Source organism: Homo sapiens, chromosome 12, assembly GCF_000001405.40.
Source record: "Homo sapiens chromosome 12, GRCh38.p14 Primary Assembly".
Classification (NCBI taxonomy): Eukaryota; Metazoa; Chordata; class Mammalia; order Primates; family Hominidae; genus Homo; species Homo sapiens.
This window is the reverse complement of record NC_000012.12, coordinates 95016487-95029458: the sequence shown is the minus strand read 5'-3', so window position 1 is coordinate 95029458 and position 12972 is coordinate 95016487. Positions and strand designations below refer to the sequence as shown.

At 38.1% G+C, this 12972-nt stretch overlaps 1 protein-coding gene across 9 annotated transcripts in view, besides 1 other annotated feature; it reads left to right on the top strand.

Moving 5' to 3' along the window:
* NR2C1 (nuclear receptor subfamily 2 group C member 1) overlaps window positions 1–9230 on the top strand; it is a 53390-nt gene extending 44160 nt beyond the window's left edge. For 3 of the 9 annotated variants that reach the window (XM_011538717.3, NM_003297.4, XM_006719585.3), the window contains 3 exons: window positions 935–1072; window positions 4204–4309; window positions 7056–9230. In XM_011538717.3, coding sequence (XP_011537019.1) covers window positions 935–1072; window positions 4204–4309; window positions 7056–7230 — 419 coding nt within the window. In that variant the 3' untranslated portion in view covers window positions 7231–9230. Of the gene's footprint in view, window positions 1–934; window positions 1073–4203; window positions 4310–7055 lie in introns of those variants that run through there. The other 6 variants (XM_047429495.1, XM_005269133.3, XM_006719584.3 and 3 more) reach the window with 5 other exon arrangements.
* Window positions 6229–6461: a silencer, noted in NCBI's record as "fragment chr12:95416774-95417006 (GRCh37/hg19 assembly coordinates)". NCBI's record gives its function as "represses an EF-1alpha promoter that drives an FKBP-Casp9 reporter gene in an ReSE screen in K562 erythroleukemia cells {active_cell/tissue: K562}" and the evidence as "EXISTENCE:reporter gene assay evidence [ECO:0000049][PMID:32094911]".
* Window positions 9231–12972: the final 3742 nt, after the last annotated feature.

Sequence of the window (12972 nt, the reverse complement as noted above, 5' to 3'; positions counted from 1 at the left end):
GTTTTTTCCCCAAAAGCAATTACCATGAGAAAATAATTCATTTTTTAAAAGTACTTTTACAACATCAAAAGAATTAAGATGAAATATAAACCTGGCTGGGCACAGTGGCTCACACTTTGGGAGGCTGAGGCAGGCAGATCACTTGAGGTCAGGGGTTCAAGACCAGCCTGGCCAACATGGTGAAACCCCATCTCTACTAAAATACAAAATTTAGCCATTCATGGTGGCGCTTACCTGTAGTCCCAACTACTCAGGAGGCTGAGGTGGGAGGATTGCTTGAACCCAGGAGGCAGAGTTGCAGTGAGTTGAGATCGCACCACTGCACTCCAGCCTTGGGCAACAGAGCGAGACCCTGTCTCAAGAAAAATAAATATAAACCTTTCTACTTACGATTTTTATACAGATTATACTAACAGCTTGTTCTTGAATGAATAATATCTTAAGATTAGTTTTAGCTATAATTGCAGAAATACTTAATTTTAAACATTTCTAGATTGGTTATACTCAAAGCTTGAAATTCATGAGAGGAAGGCCAGGCACAGTGGCTCACACCTGTAATCCCAAGACTTTGGGAGGCACAGGTGGGCTAATCACTTGAGCCCAGGAGTTCAAGAACAGCCTGGGCAACATAGTGAAACCCCATCCTACAAAAAATACAAAAATTAGCTGGGCGCGGTGGCATGCGCCTCTAGTCCCAGCTACTTGGGAGGCTGAGGCAGGAGAACTGCTTGAGTCCAGGAGGCAGAGGTTGCAGTGAGCCAAGATCACCGCACTGCACTGCACTGCCACCTGGGCGACAGGAGTAAAACCCTGTCTCAAAAAAAATTTAAGAATTAAAAAATTTTTCAAAATTCCTGAGAGGGAAATATATTGGATGAAAGTAGTTGTTCATTTTAGACAAACACTAGAAGCATTTGTTTATTTTTAATTAAAGATAAAATGTCAACAGAAAGAAGAAAATTATTGATGGAGCACATCTTCAAACTACAGGAGTTTTGTAACAGCATGGTTAAACTCTGCATTGATGGATACGAATATGCCTACCTGAAGGCAATAGTACTCTTCAGTCCAGGTATATAAACATTTACTTTTTATTCAAAATAAAATGTTTCACGATGTGGAGAAATAGAAGCCCTCATATGTTGCAAGTGGGGATGTAAAATGGTGCAGTTACCTGGGAAAAGAGTTCAGTAGTTCTTCAAAAGGTTAAACATGGAGTTATCATATGACTCAGCAGCTTCACTCTTGTCAGCCCAAGAGAAATGAAAAATATATATCTATGCAAGAATGTGTATATAAATAGTCATAGCAGCATTATTTATAATAGTCAAAAAGTGGAGACAACCCAAATGTCGGTCAACAGATGAAGAAATAAATTTAATATATACATATGATGGAATATCATTCAGCCATAAAAGGAAGGAAATTCTAACACATACTGCAACACAGATGAACCTTTAAAAGTTCTGCTAAATGAAAGAAGCCAGTCATATTGTTTGATTTCATTTATATAAAATACGCAAAATAGGTAAACCTGTATAGACATAAAATAGGTAAGTGGTTGCCAGGGTCTAAGGAGAAGGAAGAAATGGGAAGTGACTGCTAATGGGTAGAGTGTTTTTTTTGGAGTGACAAAAATGTTCCAAAATTAGATTGTAGTGATAGTTGTACAATTATCAGTATATTCATACTAAAAACTATTGAATTGTATACTTTTTTTTTTTAGACTGAGTCTCACTCTGTCGCCCAGGCTGGAGTGTAGTGGTGCAATCTCAGTTCACTGCAACCTCCGCCTCCTGTGTTCAAACGATTCTCCTGCCTCAGCCTCCCCAGTAGCTGGGATTACAGGCATGTACCACCACACCCAGTTCATTTTTGTATTTTTAGTAGAGACAAGTTTCACTATGTTGGCCATGCTGGTGTTGAACTCCTGACCTAAGGTGATCTACCCGCCTCGGCCTCCCAAAGTGCTGGGATTACAGGAGTGAACCACCCGCCTGGCCTGAATTGTATACTTTAAATTGGTGAATTTTAAGGATGTTAGACATTTATATGGGTATGAAAAGGGAGGTTGAGAAGTCAGTGAAATAATATGATAGACCTTGGCAGGGCGCAGTAGCTCATGCCTGTAATCCTCACATTTTGGGAGGCTGAGATGGGAGGACTGGTCAGGAGTTTGAGACCAGCCTGGGCAACATAATGAGACCTCTTCTCTACAAAAATCAAAACAGAAAAAATTAGCTGGATGTGCTGGTGTGCACCTGTAGTTTCAGCTACTTGGGAGGCTTAGGTGGGAGGATCACTTCAGCCCGAGAATTTGAGGCTGCAGTGAGCTCTAATCATGCTGCTGCATTCTAGCCTGGGTGACAGAGGGAGACCCTGTCTCAAAAATAAATGAAAATGTAAAAAATGTTATAGACCTTTATTTCTGTTGTCACGTCAACATTTGAATTCTTAGGTGTATTTTTTTAGGCATTACTAAATGGCAGAATGAGAGATGACTATTTGCTATGTTGATGGGCTAGATTTCCAAACATCTTATATGAGTTACCAACAAATTTAAAAAACTGGTTTCTTGTTTTCCTGCCAGTTTACAGTTTTCACAGATGGTAAAATGACGGTAAGCTCTCAGTGATCAATTTCTGAATAAGAGAAATTGACTGTTCTCTTAGGTTCTGTATTTTTCATTCTGATATGTTTCTGTTCTTGTGCATCATAATAAAATTATCTGAGGAAACCTGCTTCTTTCTGTCAGTAATACCAGTAAGAACATGAAAGCTTGTACTATTTCTTCTAATGTTTCTTATGAGTTAGTAACGTATGTCTCTATTCTTAGCACAATTTGTCACCTTTATTTTCCTTAGGTGAAAATTGAAGGAACATAGATTTGAAGTTTAAATTCTAATGTAATTTTATTTTACTAAGTATTTTTAGGTTTTTCCATTTAGTACTTTTTAAAATTTTCATCCATGAGAACAGAGCTTTCCATATTCAACATTTCTTAAGCTATGCATAATTTTTATGAAGTTCTTTTAATATTTCTGTTTTTGTGTAATGTTATAGTGACCATTGAAATGCTTATATAGATTTTTTCATGTTTCTGTTATTTTTCTGATAGAGATAATATTTGTGGTTTCATAATTTCTTATATACCTTTTTACCTAAAAATAGAATTTTTGACTTAGAAAAATATGGCATAGAATATAATCTGCAAATATTTCATGGATTTAAAATGCCTTTTTTTTTTTTTTGGAGACGGAGTCTCACTCTGTTGCCCAGGCTGGAGTGCAGTAGCACAATCTCGGCTCACCACAACCTCCGCCTCCTGGTTTCAAGCGATTCTCCTGCCTCAGCCTCCCAAGTAGCTGGGATTACAGGTGCCTGCCACCACACCCAGCTAATTTTTTGTATTTTTAGTAGAGACGGGGTTTCACCATGTTGGCCAGGCTGGTCTTGAACCCCTGACCTTGTGATCCCCCCCACCTCGGCCTCCCAAAGTGCTGGGACTACAGGCATGAGCCACCACACCCAGCCTTAAGATGTCTTTTTAAGCTGAGTCATTTACCTTTTGCTCCTATTAAAGGCAAAGTTATCAAATGCATTCTTACTACTTTTGGAATGGAGAGAAAGCTGTTTGTTTTGGTAACACCCGCTTATTTTTTATTAGTTGTTAGCATATGTATACGAGATAAAAAATAATTTTAAATATGTAAAATATAGTGCTTGGTATATAGTAGGTGGCCTCAATCAATATTTGTGGAATGAATGAGCCACACTTTTTTTTTTTTTTTTTTTTTTTTAAGACAGAGTTTCACTCTTGTTGCCCAGGCTGGAGTGCAATGGCGCTGTCTCGGCTCACAGCAACCTCTGCCTCCCAGGTTTAAGTGATTCTCCTGCCTCAGTCTCCTGAGTAGCTTGGATTACAGGCATGCGCCACCATGCCTGGCTAATTTTGTATTTTTAGTAGAGATGGGGCTTCTCCATGTTGGTCAGGCTGGTCTTGAACTCCTGACCTCAGATGATTCACCCTCCTCAGCCTCCCAAAGTGCTAGGATTACAGGCGTGAGCCACCATGCCCGGCCTGAGCCACACATTTTATGATGGGGCTTCTATTTTGACTATTCTTTCTGTCTCTTTTCATATCCACTCTGTCTTAAATGAACATTCAGAACTAGGGTACCAATGTTTTCTTTAATGTTTCAGATCATCCAAGCCTAGAAAACATGGAACAGATAGAGAAATTTCAGGAAAAGGCTTATGTGGAATTCCAAGATTATATAACCAAAACATATCCAGATGACACCTACAGGTATCTAGAGTTAAATTCTATATAATTAAAATAATTGAAAAACCTTTTGTGGATCTGTTATCTCATTATTACTACTCTCACAATAATTAAATGTTTTAGGCAACCTTAACTTTGAAATACTAATGCTATAAAAAGCAGTATTGCATTGTTGCAAGTACGTTACATAAAATATTTCATCCAGTTCTTATATTTTTTATAAGAGGAGACTTCAGCACAGAGAGGTTAACTTTGCTTAAGGTCACACAGTAAATGATAGCACCTGACTGTGACCCAAGTAGTCTGACTCTAAAATCCAAACTCTTTTTCTTTGGATAAAATAATGAATTTTGTTAGCAAAAGGAGGATAAAAAATAATCAAGAGACCAGCCTGGACAACATGGTGAAACCCTGTTTCTACAAAAAAATACAAAAATTAGCCCGGCTTGGTGGCGCATGCCTGAAGTCCCAGCTACTCAGAAAGCTGAGGTGAGACTGCAATGAGCTGTGATCATACTCCTACGCTCCAATCTGGGTGACAGAGTGAGACCCTGTCTAAAAAATATTAAAAAATAAAAACAAATACCATTAGATTGTTTTATAATTAATTTTGAAACATGGTTTATGAAATTCACTCCAAGCTATTTCTCACCAATATTCTTTGAGAAAAATTCTTTTTTTATAAGAGCCACTTTCTTTAAAGAGGGATATTATAGCCGAGGGGTTAATCACCTGGTTATAGAGCCAGAGTACCTGGATTTGAATTCTGACTCCTGCACTTGCTAGCTTCATAACCTTGGGCATGTTTCCTCACCTATAAATGGAGATAATACTAATACCCACTTTTTACAATTATTTTAAGGATTAAATCAGTTAATATATGTACAGTGCTTAGGACTGTGCCTGTCATACAGTAAGGGCTATATAAGTGTGTTTGTTTATAATAAATAAAACATTTTATTAGTTTGGCATACTTCAAACTAGTAAGATAACATTTTTACATATAATAATTTTTTTACATATATTAAATAATGTAGATTTATAAGCCAGTCTCATCTTAAATATCAGCCTTACTTTAACTCGTTTTCCTATTCTGCTTTCTACCAGTTCTGTAAAAGCTGAGTAATTTGATGTGGATGCTAAGTAATTTGAGGAGTAGAGCACACAGCTCCAGGAAGATAATCCTGGGGGCTGCTGGTCTAATTTGGTCTGAGGTGTTAGAGTGCAAGGCGTTAGGACAGAAGGATAAACCCACCACAGTCTTTTTGAAAAGGTGGTTTTGTTGTGGTTGTTTTTCAGCATCTTTAAGTTTTAAAAGTTACTCTATGCCTCATTATACAAATAAATACAGTATTTAAATTTTTTTCCTTTGTGACTGCAGCTTTCTCAGTTTTTTACATTGTTGGTTACTTAAAAATAATACATTATCCTTGGATAGTAGTTTTCAACTTATAAGGCACTTTGACACAAGATAGGGTCTTACCCTAAGAAACCTCACTACCTGGCACAGAAATTGGCAGGGATCATTTCATTCATCCTCACAACAGCACTGTGAGAGACAGTAAGTGGCAAGCACACATTTATATAAGTAGTGGGCAGTTCAATCAAGATTTGAACCCAGCGGTCTTGATTCCACATTCTGTGCTTTTCCCAGTAATAGCAACTATTGCCTACTTCCAGTAGTTTTTTGCAGAGCAAAACCAAGAAAATGTCTTATGTCCTGATAACACAAAACATTGCCATTTTTAAAACCTGAAATGAGTTGCTAAGCCATTCTTTTTCTTTTTCTTGAGATAGAATATTGGTCTGTCACCCAGGCTGGAGTGCAGTGGCATGATCTCGGCTCACTGCAACCTCTGCCTCCTAGGTTCAAGCAATTCTCATGATTCTCTTGCCTCAGCCTCCCAAGTGGCTGGGGTTATAGGCACATGCCACCATGCCTGGCTAATTATTTTTTGTATTTTTAGTAGAGACAAGGTTTCACCATGTTGGCCAGGCTGGTCATGCCCGGCTGATTTTATTTTATTTTATTATTATTTTTTTTAGTAGAGATGAGGTTTCACCATGTTGGCCAGGCTGGTCTCGAACTCCTGACCTCAAGTGATCTGCCCACCTCAGCCTCCTAGAGGTGAGCCACTGGCACCCAGCCGCCATTCTTAAATGTATAACTTGGCCCGGCACAATGGCTCACGCTTATAATCTCAGTACTTTGGGAAGCCAAGGCAGGAGGATTGCTTGAGCCCAAGAGTGTGAGACCAGCCTGGGTAATATAGTGAGACCCTGTCTCTACAAAAAAAAAAAAACAAACACAATTAGCCAGGTATAGTGGCACACTCCTGTAGCCACAGCTACTTGGGAGGCTGAGGCGGGAAGGATCACTTGAGTCCAAGGAATTGAGGCTGCAGTGAGCTCACACCACTGCACTCCAGTTTGTGCAGCAGAGCGAGGCCCTCTCTCAAAAAAAAAAAAAAAATTGTATAACTTGATGCATGGTTTAACAACTCAGTTCCACAGTCCTTACAGCCAAGTGGAGGCAGTACAGTGTAGCATTAAGAGCAGGGCTTTCCCCTGTGGAGTCTGTCAGACTGCATTAATAGCCAGGTAATTGCCATATGTTCTAAGGCTTGAGAATACTAAAGTTTTGATTTTAACTTTTGAAAATGCTATCTTTATTAAATTAGGCCACATGCAGAAATTACTCATATTTTTCTACTAAATTTCTTTCTGGTTTACAACCTTGTTCCTCTCCCTTTTTTCTTTCTTTTTTTAGGTTATCCAGACTACTACTCAGATTGCCAGCTTTAAGACTGATGAATGCTACCATCACTGAAGAATTGTTTTTCAAAGGTCTCATTGGCAATATACGAATTGACAGTGTTATCCCACATATTTTGAAAATGGAGCCTGCAGATTATAACTCTCAAATAATTGGTCACAGCATTTGAAAACTGTGACTGCAGTGCTGTAAACTTAACTGTTCTTTGCCAGAACACAAGACACCAAATTGAACTCACTGCTTTTGAGGCATCTGGAAATTTTTACTTTAAAAAGTAACCAGAATCCAAGGTATTTTTATTTTAGCTTCCCTTAAGAATTTTTGAAGTGACTGGGCAGGCAGCAGAAATTAAATGAATTTTTCTTCCTGATTCCTTTAAATGAATATGAAACACTACAAATTTATTCTTGGTGAAGATGATACCTGAAGCTGTCACCTCTTGATTATCTAAACTAAGCGCTCATTCTATTTTATAAAACAAATAAATTAGTCTCTTTTTTCTGAATTGTGTTCTAGTCATATTTAACTTCATTATGAACTAGTAAAAATACTTAATGGTCAGAAATCCCTAAGGAGTTAGTTCCTTGCATTTTACTCTGCCATAATAATTTTTGTTTAATTACCATATCAAAATAAGATTATTTTATGCTTACTGGTATAATGACAGTATTAGAACTATAGGAAATAATTGAATACATATTTTTTGTCTTCTCTAAATATCATGGTGTCCCTTAGCATATACTACTCTCATTGCTGGCAGTGAGACAGGCCATTCATGATCTTAAGAGTTGCCATTTTTAATGTATATTATTAGTTACAAGCACTTTATATAGCAGAAAATTGTTTTTGAGAATAAGCTAGTGTTGATATTTTAATATTTTTAGCTTACTGCTCGTGTTTTTGTTTTTGTTTTCGTTTATAGAGGTGGGTTTCACTGTTGCCCAGGCTGGTCTCAAACTCCTGGGCTCAAGTGATCCTGCCTCAGCCTCCCAAAGTACTGGGATTACAGGCGCGTGCCACCGTGCCTGGCCTACTGCTGTCTTTGAAAATAATAGAGACTAGCCAGGTGTAGTGGCTCATGCCTATAATCCCAGCACTTTGGGAGGCTGAGGCAGGCAGATTGCTTGAGCTCAGGAGTTCGAGACCAGCCTGGGCAATATAGCAAGACCTCGTCTCTGTAAAAAGAAAGAAAGTAATAAAGACTAATTGAGCCCAAAATGTTTCACTATTTCAAAAAAGATATTTAAATTGTTGCTCTTTCATTCCATAAAAAGGATCTGATCTCTCTCCCACTTTTCTGACCTGAGTTAGAGCTTCCCAAACCTGTCATGTATGGGTTTTAGCCAATTTCTTTTAGATCACTAAAAAAACTCACCCAATATGTCAAATAATGGATTTATCATAGCCAGTACATGTTCTCAAGGCAAGTTTAAACATTATTTTGAAGCTATTGATAATTTTTTAAAATAAAGAAATATTCACTGATTTTTTTCACTGTAAAGCACGGGAGGGCTGCTTTAACAACAGTATAAGAATCAGCCTGAAGCCTTGTTACTGCTACAACAAATTCATTTTAGACTCCTCGGATGTCTTCCACAGTAATTTATTCTTTTAGCAAACCTGATACTGATAACTGTTTCTTTGCTTTGATTTCTTGATGAATTATTTTGGTATGTTTGTTGATTTTTAAAGCAAACACGGATAATGCACTCAGAGTACATTTTTTGTAAAGATTTTTGCAATAGAAGAAAAGTGAAGTTTTTGTGGGGATGTGGATTTTATTGCTTACTACTTTATAGTAATCAAAAGTTTGAAAATATCAACTTACAGTCTTTACCAGTTTACTAAGGGAAACTTTTTTCCCTATTTAAAACATGATCTTAGTCAACAATTTTATTTATAATTATCAGCTAAATTACATTTAGTATAATACTCAAATGGAAAAATCAGTAGTTTATACCTTTATAAATACAGTTTAGTAAGCCAAGGAATCAGGGAAATAATCCTTTAAAATAATGTACTAATAGTTAAGATGTTTCAGGTGTTTTTTCTGATTAAATTTGCTACTATATTTGGAAGACTTTAAAACTATATTAAAATGTGACTTGCATTACAAATTTCTGTGTCTTACCAGTATATTTGTAAATATATTATTCATTTTCCTTTTCAGTGATTGCTTATCCTTCGTTTGTTCCATTGTGCTTTCATCTATAGCAAGTATAGATCTGCTATATTAAGAAAGCTCTAATAAGAATCGCCACTGATATAATAGGTGACTCTTAGGTGGGGTGATTTTAATTAAATCATGATTTTCTCTCTCCAGGAAGAGAAAAACATGGAAACATTTCTATGTCCTATATTTTAGGGTTATTTACAATTCAATTTGAAGACTCCCAGCTAAATACTGCAGATTAGCTTTTGTTTTCGTTCCCGAAATCTCAGTAAAATGTCCATAAAATATAATAACTACACGAGGACAAATGGAACAGGAGAGAAGAAATCAAAGGATAGAGTAAAGTAAATTTTTGGAAAACAAAATGCAGGTAGAGAAAGAATGACTGATTTAGTAGAACCAGAACTAAAGAAGCTTTAACTGAGTGACTGCAAAAGGCAATGCAATGAGAAAGAAGCCATACCAAACAAGATGCTCAGTACCCTGAAGGAAACAGTGCTCAGAAGAAGAGATGATGCTTGAGACATAAAAAAAAATAGATTGGTGGCAAGTCTGGATACAGAATAATTCGACTGTCTTTCCCCAGCCCTACTTAAGTTGGGTGGAGGCCAGGCACCGTGGCTCATGCCTGTAGTCCCAGCACTTTGGGAGGCCGAGCGAGGCAGATTGCTTGAGTCCAGGAGTTCGAGACTACCCGGTGTAATGTAGTGAAACCTCATCTCTACAAAAAAAAAAAAAAATTAGCCAGGTGTGGTAGTGTGCACCTGTAATCCCAACTACTTAGGAAGCTGAGGTGGGAGGACGGCTTGAGCCCAGGAGACCAAGGTTGCAGTGAGCTAAAATCATGCCACTGCACTCTATCCTGGGCAACAGAGCCAGATCCTGTCTCAGAAAAAAAAAAAAAAAAAAAAAAAAAGGTGGCCACTTTCTCTTCTCCCTTTTCAAGCAGGAGGAGGCCAGAGATAATTCTTCTGAGAAACTGAACTGGAAGAGCATAGGACTTAACAGGATACCAGGGATAACAAATGGTGTGAATAAGATACAGGGTTGAAAATGTGGAGGAAGTGAAAATCCGCATTTGGAGGCCGGGAGCGTTGGCTCACGCCTGTAATCCCAGCACTTTGGGAGGCCAAGGTGGGTGGATCACGAGGTCACGAGTTCAAGACCAGCCTGACCAACATGGTGAAACCCCGTCTCTACTAAAAATACAAAAACTAGCCGGGCATGGTGGCACACGCCTGTAATCCCAGCTACTCAGGAGGCTGAGGCAGGAGAATTGCTTGAACCCAGGAGGCAGAGGTTGCAGTGAGCTGAGATTGTGCCACTGCACTCCAGCCTGGGCAACAACAGAGCGAGACTCTGTTTCAAAAAAAAAAAAAAGTCTGCATTTGGTTGATATGTAGGCTTGCTACCCTTTTCCCAGGATACTGGCAATCAAGTACAGTTTTCTCTGCCAGGTTTTTTTTCTTTGGAGAAGCTAAATGGCCCCAGAGAAAAGATCTCCATTTTGGTTATCCCTTAATGATAAAAAAATAAATAAATAAAGCCTGTTTGCCACCTTATCACTCTTCAATGAAGCCCTCCAATTACCAAGTCATGTGTGTATGTATTGGGTTTCCATTCAGTTCTTTAGTGCCCTATTATTAAATGTGAACTTACAGCCCAGGATAGCCAGATATTTAAGGAAAATCTCTATACATGAGAGACCAGACATGAGGGGTGGGGAGCAGATACAAAACGCAAAGATCAGAAAAATATTCCCCAAATATAATTAGTATCTTGAGAGAAACCAGATGTATCCATAAAAGGAGAACAGAATTTTCCCAAAAAAAATGTGGAGCAAGGAATTGCCCCTAGAAATTAAAAATGATAGTCAAGGCAATTCATTAGAAGGATTGAGAGATAAAATTGAAGAATTCACCCTGAAAGTAAACCCAAAAGACAAAGGAATAGAAAATAGGATAGAAATGATAAAATCAGAGAATCAAACAAGGTCTTTTTTTTTTGGCAGGGGAAAGGGGGGTTGAGTCTCACTCTGTTGCCTAGGCTGGAGTGCAGTGGTGCGATCTCAGCTCACTGCAGCCTCCACCTCCCAGGTTCAAGCAATTCTGCCTCAGCCTCCCCAGTAGCTGGGATTACAGGCACACGCCACCACACCCGGCTAATTTCTTATTGTTTTTAGTAGAGACAGGACTTCACCATATTGGCCAGGCTGGTCTCAAACTCCTGACCTCAAATGATCTGCCCACCTCGGCCTCCCAAAGTGCTGGGATTATAGGCATGAGCCACCGCACCCGGCCAAGGTCTAACACTTTCAATACTAAGAGTTTAAGAAAGGGAAAATAGGAAAGATTTCAGAAAAGGAAATTATTAAATAATGTAAGAAAAGTTCCACAAAAGGACACATGTCTGTGGGTGGAAATGATCCACCATTATAAATTTTAAAAGATATGGCATCTTGAAATCATCATATAGTCAAAGAAGACAACTGCTATTTTTAGCAGCATAGAGGAACAGATACTCTGAAGGCCTTTGATCTATTAGCTGAGTTCACCAAATTGAGATGACTTCCTAAAGAAGGCTAAGGTTGTTTCAGGTCAGTAGTACCCCCTGTGTCCTGGCAGAAGCAAGTGTAAATCTTCTCTGGAGAAAATATTCATAATTGAGAACAGAAGTTGAGAAAGGAAATATTTTTGGCTTCATAGGCCATGCAGTGTCTGTTAAAACGACTCAAAAAGTGCTAAAGTAACTATACACAACATAAATGAGTGGGCATACCTGTGGTCCAATAAAGCGTATACAAAAACAGGCAGTGGACTGGATTTGGCTCTTGGAGTATAGTTTACCAACCCTTAATTTAAAATCTTGATATTCTCACAGATTAGGCTCAACCAAATATGAGTACACAAAATTATCAAACTCACAAGGAAATAAGCAATACATAAAGACCCTCAAAGACAGTATTAGATATTAAAATTGTCACATGCAGAATGCAACTATATGATATGTTTTAAGGAGAAAAAAATTGAATCTAAAAGTAAACAAGAAACAGCAGCAAAAATAACCAAGTAGATTTGAAAAGCCAAAAAACATTTAGAAAAAATTTACTGAAATTAAAAAATTAATGCCTGGTGAAAGATGCCTTGAATGCATACATTTAACCCTAAGTTCCTTCTAAAACTGCATTAAAACAGCTAAAGGTTTGTGGGTTGTTTTTATTTTTTTTAGACACCAAGTGTCAATGTGTTGGCCAGGGTGGAACTCCTGGGCTCAAGCTATGTTCCCACCTCAGCCTCCTGATTAGTCTCCCAGCCTCCTGATTAGCTGGGCTACAGGTGTGAACTGCCACACCTGGTTTGCTTTATGGTTTTCGTTTGTTTTTTAATGCATCTTACAAAGACAAAAAAATGGGACAGAAATAAATGATAACCACAACTTTTTGAAAGCTAAAAATAGATTAGTAGTGATGATCCTAGCAAACCTGAGAAGGACTTTTTATCCTGCAGTGTGGAAAACTGTGAAGCAATCTGATTTGTACCACAGATCCTCCAAAATGCTCTTGTACTATGACATCTCTGGAGGGGAAGATGAAGGATTTGCTGAAAGTCTATTTTGGAAGTAAATACACACCCACCAGAATGATAAAATTTTAGTCTGGCGAAACCAAACGTAGAGTATGTGGAGTAAAAATATGTGTGTTGATGGAGGGAGTGTCGGTACAATAAATTCGGGAAAGAT